This window comes from Homo sapiens, chromosome 14 (genome assembly GCF_000001405.40).
Source record: "Homo sapiens chromosome 14, GRCh38.p14 Primary Assembly".
Lineage (NCBI taxonomy): Eukaryota > Metazoa > Chordata > Mammalia > Primates > Hominidae > Homo > Homo sapiens.
The window spans coordinates 66,017,309-66,035,781 of NC_000014.9; positions in this window are offsets into that span (position 1 = coordinate 66,017,309).

Genomic DNA, 18,473 nt, shown 5'->3' on the forward strand with positions numbered 1-18,473 from the left:
CTTCCACCATGATTGTAAGTTTCCTGAGGCCTCCCCAGCCATGCTAAACTGTGAGCCAATTAAACCGCTTTCTTTTATAAATTATCCAGTCTCGGGTATGTTTTTATTTGCAGTGTGAGAACAGACAAATACACCATCTTTCTAAAATGGATATCTGATCACATCATCCCCCTGCTTAGAACCTTTTAAGGGTTTTCCATTTTCAAGAATCATACAAGGTTCTTTCTGATCTGGATCCCTGCTTACTTCTCCAGCTTTTACCTCTTGACATTCCCTTCCTTGAACTAATGGAAGCCATAAATAGCTGCTAGGAAGTTGCTGAAGGACACCCCATTTTCTCTCTCCTTGCAGATTTTTGTACCTCTAGCTCTATCTGCCTGGAACAACCCACACCCCAGCCTTGCCCTAGCAGGTCAGGTAGGAAGCGTTCCTGGTGCACTGGCACAATACCCCCTGCCTCCCTTTCCACTTATTCCATCCCTTTGTACTCAGTGGCCTCTTTCCTAGTCTATCATCTATGTGTGAGGTCCTCCAGGCAGGGATTGTGCCTTGGTTATCACTGCATTTTCAGGAGTCACCACATTTGGGAACATAGTAGGTGCTCAATAAACACTGGTTAACTGAGTGACTGAGAAAGGTAAATACATTAATGAATATGCACATGAACCATAGACTTGTCACCTGAAAGCTTCTCTACTTTGTATACTGTAGAGCTAAGACCTTTTAGTTTCTCAAAGATTTCCTCCTCTTGCTTATCACTTACAAATGGATTTTGTCCTTACTTTATTGGCACTATCTTTAGGTCCTATAAAACTGTCTTCAATTCTTTTTACTAGCTATCTCAGAGTAATAAGCTTCTCAAGTTTCCCCTGTCTCTAATGACTGCCATATGGGGACATGATACGCTAATGCTCACTTCAATAAGCTGAAGTTCTTGTTAAACAAACTGAACTACCTCCAGCTCACCTTCCATTTTAAAGGGCCCACTAAAATTGATTATGTGAAATAGGCTTTTAAAAAATATCCTCCTTAAGTAGAAAACATAAACAGGGGAGGACTGTTAGCTCAGAAAATGTAAGCCTATTTGGAGACCCAGTTTATTTCACTTGACTGAACAGGAGGTAATAGTGCCCATTGGCACAGTGCAGTCTGGACCTTTTTTTGTCCACATTAATGGATTCAGAGTTCTCGAAGATTCTGATAAAAAAAAATGGTTCCAGCTTCAGCTTTGAATGTCTTTGGGAGTGAGTGACTCACCTATGACATGGCACATTCATATGTCTATGTGATGGAGGTAACAGTGCACACAAGCACTGTAGCATGAAATGTTTTGTTCATTTGTGCCATGTTTCCTTAATACTAATAAACCAGAGTATCACAATTCTACATCTAAAGACTTATTTATGACTGCATAAAAGCTGTTGCTATCACAAGGATTGTATCAATTTACACAGACACAGACAGATACACACATACTTATATAATATTTATCATGTGAGTCTTCTGTGTACTATCTTCTAAGGCTATAAACAGTAAATAGCCTTAGACTGAGCATTTTTCTACACCCCCATTTGGGGTCATTTTAGGAAATGAGAGACCTGGGATCATAATCAAAAAAGAATCCAAGGCTGCAGTTCAGTTTCAAAATGGGGAAGACAGCTCTGATTCTCTAGCTTTTGTTAATAGACTTCTTGAACTGTGGTCATTCAGCCAGGCGGCTTCCTTGAACCTCGTTCACTGTGTCCACTGTCAGGATGAAATGCACTCTCTGAGGCCTGAAAACATAACCCAGACAGGGAATGCAGACAGATAGGCAGAGGAACATGGCATCACAGATTGCTGAAAGGGTGGTGGGGGGCTCACAGCAAATACAGCCCTAGGCAAGGTATCTGGAGGACAACCCAGGTGAGCTTCAACTGGCGATTTGGGGCCAGAAGCTGTCAACTGTTTTTGAAAGTTTTGATAGGTTTTTTTTTTTTTTTTGTGCCAGTTCTCTATTTTTTTTCTTTAAACAGAGAAACTAAACTATTATGGTATCAATAGGGTGAATCAAAGCTGTAGAAAAGCTTGTTAGGTAGCAGAGAGAAATGCCGAAATGAAAAATCATGGGCTACAGAAGAGAAGCGAAAATGAGTCTTAGAGCATGGGTCAGTTAGACTCAACCAAAGTCTCCTAACCTGCAGCCCAGCAAGTACATTACCTGCCTACCCACCTCCGCCCTGAGGTACAGGATCTGTCTGCGTAACCCTGCCAGACCTTTTGTTTTTAGTCTGAAGAAGCAGAGTTCAGTGTGCACAAAGCTCTGAATATTTTCTTTCCAACCCTAAAACTCATAAAAACATAGACAATGGGCTTTAAAAGGCAGTGGAGGCTGGGTATGGTGGCACATGCCTGTAATCCCAGCACTTTGGGAGGCTGAGGCAGGTGAATCACTTGAGGTCAGGAGTTCCAGACCAGCCTGGCCAACATGGTGAAACCCTGTCTCTACTAAAAATAGAAAAATTAGCTGGGTGTGGTGGCGGGCACCTGTAACCCCAGCTACTAGGGAAGCTGATGAAGAAGAATTGCTTGAACCTGGGAAGCAGAGGTTGCAGTGAGCTGAGATCGCACCACTGTACTCCAGCTTGGGTGACAGAGCAAGACTCTGTCTCAAAAAAAAGGCAGTGGAGTCTCCAAACTCTCATGATTCCATATCCCTATCAGTTAAAAATTGTATTTTTATTTATTAATACATTATAAGAATATACTAATATACTAACATAAGGTGCACATGATAAAGCATATATATAAAAATAGAGGCTAAGCAATGTATGAGATACAACATACAAAAGGAGGTATTTTCTTCCCATACGATAGGAGAGTGCTGGGAACAAAGGGAATATCAAGAGAGTGAGAAGCTGATAAATTCTTCCAAGAGGTGATTATAAATACAGAAGGTGAAAAATACAGTGGACTAGAAATCCTGAAAACTTTCCCATTCTAAAATAAACAGGCAAACAATAACAACTTAAAATGCGGAACAAAATGTTTTAAGAATTCAGAACTTTTGAGACAGTAGAGAAAGGCTCAGAATATGAAAATAAAGTGGCTGTGGAAGCCAACAGCTGCCCTCCAGGGGTTCCTTGGCCCCATCATCTTTTCTAGAGCCGTGGGTTTTTATGGCCATGGTGGGGCAGGTGTCCAGACAATGGCTCACCACCAGGTAGGGAATTGGAAGGGCAGGAATTCCCTACATGCTACACCCACTGGGAAAAAAAAAACACTAGGAAAAAATTCTGCTTCACAAGGGCACAAACAAAAAAATGTGGCTATTTTTGCTTTGGCCTTTGGAAGATGAAAAATCTCTTTTAAATATTTGTAACCACAAGCCTGTGCCCATACAGGTTTGGAGCTTAAACACTACCTATGTATACCAGAAAAACCCAGAGATATTAGTTAATGAGAAATTAATTCAAAGCAACCCAGTGTTGGAAGCACCCCTAGCATGTGGCAGAAGCAAATGCAAATCCTCTCTGGAGGAAAATCCTTCAACCAGACTCTTGGGATTCCCACAGATAAAAACCTGAGAAACAAGAAGATATGAAGGGCAGAGAAGTCAAACATGCGTCTAAGGGGAGTTCCAGAGAGAGAATATAGAAAATGGGGAGAAGCAATGTTTGAAGAATAAAGGCCAAGAATTTTCCAGATTTGGAACTGCAACAAATTCCAAGCACGATAATAAAAATAAATTTATACTGTTAACCAAAAATAAAATTCTAAGTCTCCCCACTGACTGAATGGAATCTCCTTGGCCAAGAGAGGCCATGATGGGAAGGGGGGCCTAGACATACCTCATTATACCCTCTTCCCTTAGGAGTTTAGGCACAACTGACCAGCACTAACATTAAAAGGGGGATCATAAGACTGAAAAAACAGATTCTTTGTGGCAATAAGATACCCAGCTCCAACCTAACTCTGGCGTAGCATCATATGACACATAGCAGGCCCTGAAGGAAATCAAAATATTTTACCCCAAAATACATTTCTTTGACATATTTTGAAATGGCCCTGCAAAGTTATCTCTTGTGGAGGAAATTTGCATACTGTAGAGAATCTCCTATACTTTCTTGGTCTTTTCCAAAGAGTCTGACACTTTAAGGTCCAGTAAGAGACATTTACCATCTATTCTCTCTGAAGTCTGTTGCTTAGAGGTGTCATCTATATAACAAGAACCTTGGCTTCCATAACCCCCTGCCCCATCTTAACTCAAGCATTTATTGATACTGACTTCAACTCTTCAGGCAAAGCTTAACTCTCTCAACCAATTGCCAATCAGGAAGCCCTCACTCTTCAAGATGTTCCACCTTTCTGGGCCGAACCAATGTCTATTTTACATGTATCGATTTATGTTTTTGCCAGTAACTTCTGTCTCCCTAAACTGTATAAAACCAAGCTATAACCCAATTGCTTTGGGCGCATGTTCTCAGAACCTCCGGAGGCTGTGTCATGGACCATGGTTCACATATGTGGCTCAGAATAAACCTCTTCAAGTATTTTACAGAGTTTAGCTTTTTCCATCAACAACATTTTGCCACATTGTAGTGAAACCTCTTTAATACCAAAGGCAAAGAGACGATCTTAAAAACAGCCAGAGAGGAAATTCAGATCCCAGCAACAGCAATTGACTGACTTTAGCCTCCTCAACAGCAGTAATGGAAGCCAGCAGGTGGAGGGATTCTATCTCCAAAGGCTGAGAGAAAATAACCACCCATCAAGAATCGTATACCCTGCAAAAATGTCTTTTGGAAATACAGGAAAAAAATATTGTTCAGGGAAACGTCAGTGGAGTTTGCCACCAACAGAACCTTCTTGAATAACCTTTTTATCTTGAGAGATCCCTCTTTCTTCTCAAAGAACAGTTCTTAATCACAATGATAGTCATAGAAACGTTAGAAATAATTCCTAATGAGGAGCATGTCCCTCCCCTGCTCCTCCCCTCATGCTTCCTTTCTATGTTAGTCCCCATCTTCTCAGAGCTACCTGGAGGGGATAGCTGTATTTCTTCTCTCTCCATTCTCTTATCTCCTTGCTGGAATGGCATTAAGGAGCTACTGACAGGTTGTTCTTTGCATTTCCTGAATGGGCTGTCTGCACCGGTTGTTAGAAATTAGACCCCACGGAGACATAAGTGAATCTCAGATATAAGCCCCCTTCCTGGGCCCCCAAGGAGGCAAGGCAAGACTTGCTCAGCTGACACTGAAAGAGAAGACTAATGTCCTTTGTTTTCCAACCAGTTTGATAGTCATCCACATTTACAGTAATTCAATTTACTTGTTACCATTTGGCATTTGGGAGCCACTAGTAGCGCTGTCAGGTAAAGTGAAAGAAAAGCGATGGGGAACGCCAGGAGGCATAATTAAAATGGAGTGCTAATGACTCTGCCCATCAAAAGGCCCCTGTCACTGTGCTCTGAGTGCAGCTCATTAAGCAGACCTGCCAGCTGGAGAGGAGCCGGAGCTCCTGCCCTCCTCACGGCCCAGCTGCCTGGGTAGCTCCCAGGCCCAGCGTGCCCAGTTTGTTGAGCGTTTTGTGGAGCCTGAGCTCTCGGCTGGTCCTCAGTGTCCCATCCTGAGCAGGTGTGGGGGTTCTGAAGTGAATCTGCCCAGGATGAAACCCTGCAGCATTCTGGAGGCTGTGGAGGTTGGACTGGCTTTTCTCAGGAGTCTTGAGCATCTGTGAAGGCAAACACTTAACCTCAGGATGGAGGAGGGGAGCTGACAGAGGTTCTAGCTTCAGCAAACAAGGAAGGCAAACCCAAGGTGACTTAGTAATTTTATGACTTTCAAATAATAGAGCCATTCCAATTTCCTTCACAGAGCATAGAAGGTCAGGCATGAAGGCTGCCTCATTTTCTTCTTAGAACACACCTGATGAGGCAGAGATTATTGGCATCCTTGCTTTATAGATGGGAGACACCGAGGGAGGAAGTCAAGGGACCAAGTTCCTGTGGCTAGTAAGCTCAAAGCCTTAGTCCTTTCTATGCAAAGACAGAGTTTCATCCAACAAACATGGTGCTTCTGGCCTGCAATATTGTCCAACAATATAAAAAATAGCATCAGTTACTATTTACTGAGCTCAACCCCTGTGCCAGGAATGGCTCTAAGGGTTTTACGTGCTAACTCATTTAATCCACACTGCAACCCCAGGGAGTAGGTACTATTTTTATTCCTATCCTATAAATTGGGAAGCTAAGGCCCTGAAAGGTGATGTTTCTTGCCCGAAACCTAGAGCTGGTAAAGTGGCTGGGATCAAACTCTCCAGAGTCTTTGCTCTTAATCCCTTTGGTAAGCATAGTATTCTTTCTCCCTTCCTTCTTCTCTCCTCCATCTTCCTTCTCCTCTGTCTCTAAATAAGGACCTGCTAAGTTCTGAAATTCTAAATACATATAAAAATGTAAATTGTTTCTTTTAATGTGCAGTGCTGCCATATAGTAGGCTGTCAATCTAGATTGGGTCTTTTACTTGTTTTTCTGTAGAGAGAAGGATCAGCACTGAGGCATCTGTATCCTAAACCTGTCGCTCCCTAAAGCCAATAGCATGAAGCTTTGCAGGTATTTTGTGACTATGGATAAAAAGATATCTGATGGTTGGGACATAACCTGGTGCTTGGCAGTATCAGCTGGGGCTGGAACTAATGAGCCACAGCCCCATTTCTGTGACCCAACCCAGGGTACTCTATTCTAGGGTGGGCATTTCCAAATATACCCAGGTGCGGAGCTCCTGCTGGCATCCCCATGGCCTGGACCAGTTTTAGTTCTGAAAGGGCCTGCCCAAATCTTTCCTCACCACACCTCCCAGAAAAGCAGGTGCACAAGTTGGCCAGCTGGCAGCCAAGGTGACTGTCCCCATGGTGTCACATGTGGGTTTTATTAAACTGCAGAGCACCAATGCTTTGTGACTAGCCAGACCTCAACAGCCTGCCTTTGTCACCTGTGTCACCAACTGTGTTTCACTTCCACAGCTTTATTAGGATGCGATGGCATCTTGCAATTGCTCCTTTGTTTGGGCCCATGGACTGGACCACATGTCTGAGGAGTCTCAGTCGATAGGTCTATCATATATTAACTACATGGAAACTGCCTTCCTTTTTAGCATTCAGCAAAGAAGAATGCAGGAGAAAGGAGATGCAACTCCCAATTCAACTTTGTTGTAGAGAATCAGGTCCAGGCACTGGTAGATTGCCTGGGCCAACAGAGCACAAGACAGAGGAGAGGAGAGAATGAGGAAAACAGAGATGTTTAGTGTGACTCTGGAATTCATCAAGAAAGGAATCAAAGCTGCCATTTGGGCAGGGGGAGGTAATAAAGTAATGAACTAAAATAGCTTTCATTCATCCCACTATCCAGACTCACTGTTGTCAATAGGTGGGGTCATCCCTGTGTTGGTTATTCTCTATTTGTTCCCCACCTCCACCCATGCCATTGCTTCCATCCGTGCTCTGCCCTTTTCTATACTACTGTTCCCCTAAAAGCTGCTCCTATAGACCCCATCACCCAGATCCCCTTGCACTCTGGCCTACAGTTGGTTTGGGACAATGGAAGCACCAGCAGGAGATCAGAAGATAGAAGGGGAGGAGGAGACCAGGGCATTTCTTGGTTGTCCCCTCCTTGCATCAGTGTCACCCCTCTAGCAGGGGCCGAGTGAGCCTGCCTCAGCGGCTACAGCTCTCATTGGGCTCTGGTAATGGCCTGGGGTGGCGATGGCTTTCCACTGTTAGTAGTTATTGGGTATCTCAACATGCAAAGGACTGTCAGCCTGTCCCACAAGACTTCTCAGGAGAGGAAGACATGAAGAAAATAGGAAAGACAAAGGGACGTACAGAGAGAAACTGGGAAACAGAGAGCAAGACAGAGCAGGAGAGAAACATACCTGATGGCATGATATGAGACCTCTCCTAGCTGCCCATTCTAGTCACATTTCTGAAAGATCTTTGAGACAGAACCTCCTATGCAAGGCTGATGGTTTTAAAAAGCAGCAGGGATCTTGCGTGGAAATTAAGAGGAGATGACCACATGGCCTTCAAGGGAGACCTGTTATTTTCAGTTTGGAAGTTACGCTAAGGCTGGCACTTATGCAGGAGCATCTCTCTCAAGTCTTTAGAAACTAATGAAGGATAAATAATAAAGCAAAGGTTCACCTTCCTTTGGCTGCTGCTGGGTCAGAACAATGTGGGCTGGAGCAGAGTGCTGGACAGCTGAGTTCTTGACCACCCTAACCTTAATTAGTCACAGACCCTGTAGAAATTCCTAAACTCCCAGTGACTCCAATTGCCTTTCCTGTAAGACGGAATTGAGATTTAACAAACAGCACATGAAACAACTACAAAGCACTACACCAGGGCTATCTTTTTATAAGTGTGGTATCTTGTCCAAGAACAGAGGTTCTTTTAACTGTTACAATTTATAGATTTTCCAACATGTTGGAGATTACAGCAATGAGAGTTCCATCAAGAAACATAATTCAATGAGGAGACTCTAATAAGAGCCTTCTTACAAAGGTGTGGGCAGGGTTAAGAGAAACAATAAGACATATTAAGGCACCAAGAACCTGCTAAGGGCGGAAGCCATTACCAGCCCTGTGCTTGTTACCAGGATCCTGTGAGAGCTGTGGTCACGGAGGAAGGGTCACTCGGGGTCACTCTGAACAAGGAACTTAGCCTATGTCAACAAAACCCAAAGGGATGAGAGATGGAAAATGCAACTACAAATCCTCTTTTGTTGTTTTTCTTTAAACTCGTTTTATTTATTTATTTATCTATTTATCTTTGAGACAGAGTTTTGCTCTTGTCACCCAGGCTGGAGAGCAATGGAGTGATCTCGGCTCACTGCAACCTCCACCTCCAGGGTTCAAGTGATTCTCCTGCCTCAGCCTCCTCAGTAACTGGGACTACAGGCCTGCACCACTATGCCTGGCTACTTTTTTGTATTTTTAGTAGAGGTGGCGTTTCACCATGTTGGCCAGGCTGGTCTCAAACTGCTGGCCTCAAGCGATCTGCCTGCCTCGGCCTCCCAAAGTGCTGAGATTACAGGCGTGAGCCACCACGCCTAGCCAACACCCCCCGCTTTTTTTTTTAGTTATTTTTATTTTTATTTATTTATGTTTTTTAAAATTATTATTATACTTGAAGTTTTAGGGTACATGTGCACAATGTGCAGGTTAGTTACATATGTATACATGTGCCATGTGGTGTGCTGCACCCATTAACTCCTCATTTAGCATTAGGTATATCTCCTCCCCCCTCCCCACAACCCACAACAGTCCCCGGTGTGTGGTGTTCCCCTTCCTGTGTCCATGTGTTCTCATTGTTCAATTCCCACCTATGAGTGAGAACATGCGGTGTTTGGTTTTTTTTCCTTGCGATAGTTTGCTGAGAATGATGGTTTCCAGTTTCATCCATGTCCCTACAAAGGACATGAACTCATCGTTTTTTATGGCTGCATAGTATTCCATGGTGTATATGTGCCACATTTTCTTAATCCAGTCTATCGTTCTTGGACATTTGGGTTGGTTCCAAGTCTTTGCTATTGTGAATAGTGTCGCAACAAACATACGTGTGCATGTGTCTTTATAGCAGCATGATTTATAATCCTTTGGGTATATACCCAGTAATGGGAAGGCTGGGTCAAATGGTATTTCTAGTTCTAGATCCCTGAGGAATCGCCACACTGACTTCCACAATGGTGAACCACAATGGTTCCACCAACAGTGTAAAAGTGTTCCTATTTCTCCACATCCTCTCCAGCACCTGTTGTTTCCTGACTTTTTAATGATTGCCATTCTAACTGGTGTGAGATGGTATCTCATTGTGGTTTTGATTTGCATTTCTCTGATGGCCAGTGATGATGAGCATTTTTTCATGTGTTTTTTGGCTGCATAAATGTCTTCTTTTCAGAAGTGTCTGTTCATATCCTTTGCCCACTTTTTGATGGGGTTGTTTGTTCTTTTCTTGTAAATTTGTTTGAATTCATTGTAGATTCTGGATATTAGCCCTTTGTCAGATGAGTAGGTTGTGAAAATTTTCTCCCATTTTGTAGGTTGCCTGTTCACTCTGATGGTAGTTTCTTTTGCTGTGCAGAAGCTCTTCAGTTTAATTAGATCCCATTTGTCAATTTTGGCTTTTGTTGCCATTGCTTTTGGTGTTTTAGACACGAAGTTCTTGCCCATGCCTATGTCCTGAATGGTATTGCCTAGGTTTTCTTCTAGGGTTTTTATGGTTTTAGGTCTAACATGTAAGTCTTTAATCCATCTTGAATTAATTTTTGTGTAAGGTGTAAGGAAGGGATCCAGTTTCAGCTTTCTACATATGGCTAGCCAGTTTTCCCAGCACCATTTATTAAATAGGGAATCCTTTTCCCATTGCTTGTTTTTTCTCAGGTTTGTCAAAGATCAGATAGTTGTAGATATGTGGTGTTATTTCTGAGGGCTCTGTTCTGTTCCATTGATCTATATCTCCGTTTTGGTACCAGTACCATGCTGTTTTGGTTACTGTAGCCTTGTAGTATAGTTTGAAGTCAGGTAGTGTGATGCCTCCAGCTTTGTTCTTTTGGCTTACGATTGACTTGGCGATGCAGGCTCTTTTTTGGTTCCTTATGAACTTTAAAGTAGTTTTTTCCAATTCTGAGAAGAAAGTCATTGGTAGCTTGATGAGGATGGCATTGAATCTATAAATTACCTTGGGCAGTATGGCCATTTTCACGATATTGATTCTTCCTACCCATGAGCATGGAATGTTCTTCCATTTGTTTGTATCCTCTTTTATTTCATTGAGCAGTGGTTTGTAGTTCTCCTTGAAGAGGTTCTTCATGTCCCTTGTAAGTTGGATTCCTAGGTATTTTATTCTCTTTGAAGCAATTGTGAATGGGAGTTCACTCATGATTTGGCTCTCTGTTTGTCTGTTATTGGTGTATAAGAATGCTTGTGATTTTTGTACATTGATTTTGTATCCTGAGACTTTGCTAAAGTTGCTTATCAGCTTAAGGAGATTTTGGGCTGAGACAATGGGGTTTTCTAGATATACAATCATGTCATCTGCAAACAGGGACAATTTGACTTCCTCTTTTCCTAAGTGAATACCCTTTATTTCCTTCTCCTGCCTAATTGCCCTGGCCAGAACTTCCAACACTATGTTGAATAGGAGTGGTGAGAGAGGGCATCCCTGTCTTGTGCCAGTTTTCAAAGGGAATGCTTCCAGTTTTTGCCCATTCAGTATGATATTGGCTGTGGGTTTGTCATAGACAGTTCTTATTATTTTGAGATATGTCCCATCAATACCTAATTTATTGAGAGTTTTTAGCATGAAGGGTTGTTGAATTTTGTCAAGGGCCTTTTCTGCATCTATTGAGATAATCGTGTGGTTTTTGTCTCTGGTTCTGTTTATATGCTGGATTACGTTTATTGATTTGCGTATGTTGAACCCGCCTTGCATCCCAGGGATGAAGCCCACTTGATCATGGTGGATAAGCTTTTTGATGTGCTGCTGGATTTGGTTTGCTAGTATTTTATTGAGGACTTTTGCATCAATATTCATCAAGGATATTGGTCTAAAATTCTCTTTTTTGGTTGTGTCTCTGCCAGGCTTTGGTATCAGGATGATGCTGGCCTCATAAATTGAGTTAGGGAGGATTCCCTCTTTTTCTATTGATTGGAATAGTTTCAGAAGGAATGGTACCAGCTCCTCCTTGTACCTCTGGTAGAATTCGGCTGTGAATCCATCTGGTCCTGGACTTTTTTTGGTTGGTAAGCTATTGATTATTGCCACAATTTCAGAGCCTGTTATTGGTCTATTCAGAGATTCAACTTCTTCCTGGTTTAGTCTTGGGAGGGTGTATGTGTCCAGGAATTTATCCATTTCTTCTAGATTTTCTAGTTTATTTGTGTAGAGGTGTTTGTAGTATTCTCTGATTGTAGTTTGTATTTCTGTGGGAACAGTGGTGATATCCTCTTTGTCATTTTTTATTGCGTCTATTTGATTCTTCTCTCTTTTCTTCTTTATTAGTCTTGCTAGTGGTCTATCAATTTTGTTGATCTTTTCAAAAAACCAGCTCCTGGATTCATTAATTTTTTGAAGGGTTTTTTGTGTCTCTGTTTCCTTCAGTTCTGCTCTGATTTTAGTTATTTCTTGCCTTCTGCTAGCTTTTGAATGTGTTTGCTCTTGCTTTTCTAGTGCTTTTAATTGTGACGTTAGGGTGTCAATTTTGGATCTTTCCTGCTTTCTCTTGTGGGCATTTAGTGCTATAAATTTCCCTCTACACACTGCTTCGAATGTGTCCCAGAGATTCTGGTATGTTGTGTCTTTGTTCTCGTTGGTTTCAAAGAACATCTTTATTTCTGCCTTCATTTCTTTATTTATCCAGTAGTCATTCAGGAGCAGGTTGTTCAGTTTCCACGTAGTTGAGTGGTTTTGAGTGAGTTTCTTAGTCCTGAGCTCTAGTTTGATTGCACTGTGGTCTGAGAGACAGTTTGTTATAATTTCTGTTCTTTCACATTTACTGAGAAGTGCTTTACTTCCAACTATGTGGTCAATTTTGGAATAGGTGTGGTGTGGTGCTAAAAAAAATGTATATTCTGTTGATGTGGGGTGGAGAGTTCTGTAGATGTCTATTAGGTCTGCTTGGTGCAGAGCTGAGTTCAATTCGTGTGTATCCTTTTTAACTTTCTGTCTCGTTGATCTGTCTAATGTTGACAGTTAAACATTAATAATTATGGGTGTTAAAGTCTCCCATTATTATTGTGTGGGAGTCTAAGTCTTTTTGTAGGTCACTCAGGACTTGCATTATGAATCTGGGTGCTCCTGTATTGGGTGCATGTATATTTAGGATAGTTAGCTCTTCTTGTTGAATTGATCCCTTTACCATTATGTAATGGCCTTCTTTGTCTCTTTTGATCTTTGTTGGTTTAAAGTCTGTTTTATCAGAGACTAGGATTGCAACCCCTGCCTTTTTTTGTTTTCCATTTGCTTGGTAGATCCTCCTCCATCCCTTTATTTGAGCCTATGGGTGTCTCTGCATGTGAGACAGGTCTCCTGAATACAGCACACTGATGGGTCTTGACTCTTTATGCAATTTGCCAGTCTGTGTCTTTTAATTGGAGCATTTAGCCCATTTACATTTAAAGTTAATATTGTTATGTGTGTATTTGATCCTGTCATTATGATGTTAGCTGGCTATTTTGCTCATTAGTTCATGCAGTTTCTTCCTAGCCTTGATGGTCTTTACAATTTGGCATGTTTTTGCAGTGGCTGGTACCGGTTGTTCCTTTCCATGTTTAGTGCTTCCTTCAGGAGCTCTTTTAGGGCAGGCCTGGTGGTGACAAAATCTCTCAGCATTTGCTTGTCTGTAAAGTATTTTATTTCTCCTTCACTTATGAAGCTTAGTTTGGCTGGGTATGAAATTCTGGGTTGAAAATTCTTTTCTTTAAGAATGTTGAATATTGGCCCCCACTGTCTTCTGGCTTGTAGAGTTTCTGCCCAGAGATCTGCTGTTAGTCTGATGGGCTTCCCTTTGTGGGTAACCCGACCTTTCTCTCTGGCTGCCCTTAACATTTTTTCCTCCATTTCAACTTTGGTGAATCTGGCAATTATGTGTCTTGGAGTTGCTCTTCTCAAGGAGTATCTTTGTGGCGTTCTCTGTATTTCCTGAATCTGAATGTTGGCCTGCCTTGCTAGATTGGGGAAGTTCTCCTGGATAATATCCTGCAGAGTGTTTTCCAACTTGGTTCCATTCTCCCCGTCACTTTAAGGTACACCAATCAGACGTAGATTTGGTCTTTTCACATAGTCCCACATTTCTTGGAGGCTTTGTTCGTTTCTTTTTATTCTTTTTTCTCTAAACTTCCCTTCTCGCTTCATTTCATTCATTTCGTCTTCCATCACTGATACCCTTTCTTTCAGTTGATTGCATCGGCTCCTGAGGCTTCTGCATTCTTCACGTAGTTCTCGAGCCTTGGCTTTCTGCTCCATCAGCTCCTTTAAGGACTTCTCTGCGTTGGTTTTTCTAGTTATCCATTTGTCTAATTTTTTTCACAGTTTTTAACTTCTTTGCCATTGGTTTGAATTTCCTCCTGTAGCTTGGAGTAGTTTGATTGTCTGAAGCCTTCTTCTCTCAGCTCATCAAAGTCATTCTCCATCCAGCTTTGTTCCATTGCTGGTGAGGAGCTGCTCTCCTTTGGAGGAGGAGAGGTGCTCTGCTTTTTAGAGTTTCCAGTTTTTCTGCTCTGTTTTTTCCCCATCTTTGTGGTTTAACTACCTTTGGTCTTTGATGATGGTGATGTACAGATGGGGTTTTGGTGTGGATGTCCTTTCTGTTTGTTAGTTTTCCTTCTAACAGACAGGACCCTTAGCTGCAGGAGTTTGCTAGAGGTCCACTCCAGACCCTGTTTGCCTGGGTATCAGCAGTGGTGGATGCAGAACAGCGGTGGCTGTAGGACAGTGGATCTTGGTGAACCGCAAATGCTGCTGCCTGATCATTCTTCTGGAAGTTTTGTCTCAGAGGAGTACCCGACCGTGTGAGGTGTCAGTCTGCCCCTACTGGGGGATGCCTCCCAGTTAGTCTGCTCGGGGGTCAAGGACCCACTTGAGGAGGCAGTCTGCCTGTTCTCAGATCTCCAGCTTTGTGCTGGGAGAACCACTACTCTCTTCAAAGCTGTCAGACAGGGACATTTAAGTCTGTAGAGGTTACTGCTGTCTTTTTGTTTGTCTGTGCCCTGCCCCCAGAGGTGGAGCCTACAGAGGCAGGCAGGCCTCCTTGCGCTGTTGTGGGCTCCACCCAGTTCGAGCTTCCCAGCTGCTTTGTTTACCTAATCAAGCCTGGGCAATGGCCGGCGCCCCTCCCCCAGCCTCGCTGCCACCTTGCTGTTTCATCTCAGACTGCTGTGCTAGCAATCAGCGAGACTCCGTGGGCGTAGGATCCTCCGAGCCATGTGCGGGATATAATCTCCTGGTGTGCTGTTTTTTAAGCCCGTTGGAAAAGCACAGTATTAGGGTTGGAGTGACCCGATTTCCCAGGTGCCATCTGTCACCCCTTCCTTTGACTAGGAAAGGGAATGCCCTGACCCCTTGTGCTTCCCGAGTGAGGCAATGCCTCACCCTGCTTCGGCTCATGCACGGTGCGCTGCACCCACTGTCCTGCACCCACTGCTGGCACTCCCTAGTGAGATGAACCCGGTACCTCAGTTGGAAATGCAGAAATCACCCGTCTTCTGTGTTGCTCATGCTGGGAGCTGTAGACCGGAGCTGTTCCTGTTTGGCTCCGGAGCCATCTTGGCTCCACCCCAAACCCTCTTTTAGAAATAGGTGAGAGTATCTACCATAAACAGCCTCATGGATAACCATATTTACTGACATAACAAAATTTAATAACTTTTATTTCAGAATAATTTGTCTAGGCTTCTTTAAATAACAAACATCATGGCTTATTAAAGGATATAAACTCATTTAAATAAATTTTGTTTGAAACTTAAACATGTCCCTGGTTTAATGAATATATCTGAAGAGAAGCCCTGGCCCACAGCTATTCCACTGACCAATAGCTCCTGCTTTTAGTGGTGGGACTATCTCCCGCTAACCATTACCCAGTGTCTATTCCCCACCTTGGCTCTCATTCAGCTTTTAAGAAAGGAGGCCCACTGACTCCATTGGAGTTGCAAGGTTGCTGACTCAGCTAAGAGGTTGGGCAGGTGCTTTCTTTTGTCCACTTCATAATCCTTATGTTGTCCGCTTTGTAATCTTTCTCTCGCTGTCACGACACTTGCCCTTGCTACTCCCTGGGGAAAGGCTCAACAGCTGTACTTTGTCTAGGAACTTTTACGTAGGATAAAGTCTTTCTCATTGGCCATGCTGTCCCTAGGGCCTATATGTGCACAGAACTACTGACTTCCATAACGAGAAATTGATTCCCAAAAACTGCACCTAAAAAATAACTTGCTATGGATTATCTTCCTGCGTTGGGGAAGAGCCAAAAGACACCCAGACCTTATGACCAAAAGAAGTAAAATAAGCCATGCTCTTTGCTCTTGGTCATTACTTTCTTCCATCCTGCTTAGGAATTCTGTGAATCATCAAAAAACAAGTGGAGTAAAAACAAAGTGAGGCAGAGAAGCCAACCATAATAGGGCCCCTCCACGTAGTGTACTTCTACTGATCTGTCAGAATCTCCTCCACAACTCCATGGCTTGAGCAGAATCCCTCGCCAAAAATCTTCAGGCTAAAATTCTACACCTGTGGGGAAGCCAGAGGATGAAAACAAAAGGGGAAATAATTGGCTCAGAACTCTATTTGAGTTACAGAATTTCAGAGAAGGACTCCTGTAGCTCAACTCAATATAAAGAAGACAACTTTATTATGTGACATCTTTTCTTTCACTCTATATCCAGAAATGCCTTTCAAAGCAAATTTATTTGTGATTTGGACAATTTAAGAGTTTCAGGTAGAGGAGAAACTAAAAAATCTTGAGATTTGAATCCAACTAGAAATTCCATGAGGCATGGAACTAGTCCTCTTGAAAGGTATCTAATGAACCCTGCTGCCTCGGCCTCAGGACCTCCTGCACTGGGACCCACCTTGAAGAGCCATCTGGTTTCTCATCCTCTCTGATGGCTAAAGAATGTTCTTCCTTCTGGCTCATGCTACCCTGGTCTGAACTGCCCTCTTGTCTCCCAATACAGGACATTCAGACTTCATGAAACTGTATTAGCCCCACTCCTGCTGACCTCTTTCTCAGGAAATAGAAAGCCAAGTCATGTGCTGCAAATGACAGGAAGGAAACTAGGACTAGGAATGGAGTGGAGGGCTTGAGGAGAGTGCGAAAGGTTTAAAACAGTCATTTGGGACCAGATTGGAAACTTCAGGTGCCAAGGGGTTGGCATCTTTAATTTGTAAGGCAGGCACCATGATAAGTTTTCACAGGCACCACTAAGCAGCAGGATCTGAGGAAGCAGATGGTTGGATTTGTCCAGAGTTGGAATTGTTGTGCTGACAATCAGAGGAAGGACAGCTCCAGAGGCAGATAAGGGTATTAGGAAGAGTGTTATTGAAGTGACTACCCATGAAGAACATAGGTAGAAAAGGAAGGAAAGCCAGAAAATGCTGGGAGGCTCTGCAGAGTCAGGGAACTGGAGATCTTGAAGGATGGAGGGACTAGATGGCAGCTCTGGTGGGACTAGAGATATGTGGGAGGAATAGGGAGATGGCCAGGTGTGATGGTTGAGTGATAACTTGATTGGATTGAAGGATGCAAGGTGTTGTTCCTGGGTGTGTCTATGAGGGTGTTGCCAAAGGAGGTTAACTTTCAAGTCAGTGAACTGGGAAAGGAAGACCCACCCTTAATCTGGGTGGGCACTATCTAGTCAGCTGCAGCAAGGCTAGAATATAAGCAGGCAGAGGAATGTGGTAGGACTAGACTGGCTGAGTCTTTAGGCCTTCATCTTTCTCCCGTGCTGGATGCTTCCTACCCTTGAACATCAGACTCCAAGTTCTTCAGCTTCTGGATTCTTGGACCTATACCAGTGGTTTGCCAGGGGCTCTTGAGCCTTTGGCCACAGACTGAAGGCTGCACTGTTGGCTTCCCTACTTTTGAGGTTTTGGGACTCGGACAGGCTTCCTTGCTCCTCAACTTGCAGATGGTCTATTGTGACACTTCACCCTGTGATGGTGTGAGTCAATACTCCTTAATAAACTCCCATTCAAATATTCATCTGTCCTATTAGTCCTGTCCCTCTAGAGAACTCTGACTAATACACCAGGAGTGGAGATTCCAAATCTAAGGCAGTGCAAAGAGAGGGAGGAGGATGGCATGGTTCCTGATGTGATGGTGGCAGTTGGTGGATAAGGCAGAGGGGATAACAGGGGTGAGAATATGGACTGGGCTGTTGGATGATCTGTCCCCATGGACCTAGAGGTCAGTTAGTCTAATGGCAGGAAGTAGATTTTTCCAGAGAACATGGAGCTGGTAGACAGAAGTGCTCTGACTGGAGCCCAGACCTCTGGGCTGCCATCTTGTGTGTGTTCTCCATTAATAAGCACTGCACACCTTTTCTGCTATAAGTAGCTCCCAAAGAATAAAACTTCTGAAGCCCCACCTCAGAGTTCTTATTCTAGGTGTCAGGACGGCAGCTCTGTCTCTGTTCAAGAAAACCCTGGATGTGTCTTTCTCTGAGGTTGAGAACTGTGGCTCCCAGCAAACCTCTCCATTATGGACTAAGTCTTTAAAAGGACCCATCTAAAGGTTAGATGGGGGAAAATGTTGGCATGGACAAAAATAAAAATAAGGGTGAGGTGCTTGGTTCTTTTCTTCTGGTTTAGACCTTGGCTCCTCCATGACTGTGTCTCTGAGCTGGAGACATCACAAATGCCAACCCTCAGGTAGTTCAACCCTTCTCTCTTTTTGCTTCCCAGTCCTCCGTCTTGGGAGGGTGCTGGTAAGAAAAGAGCTATTACTTGAT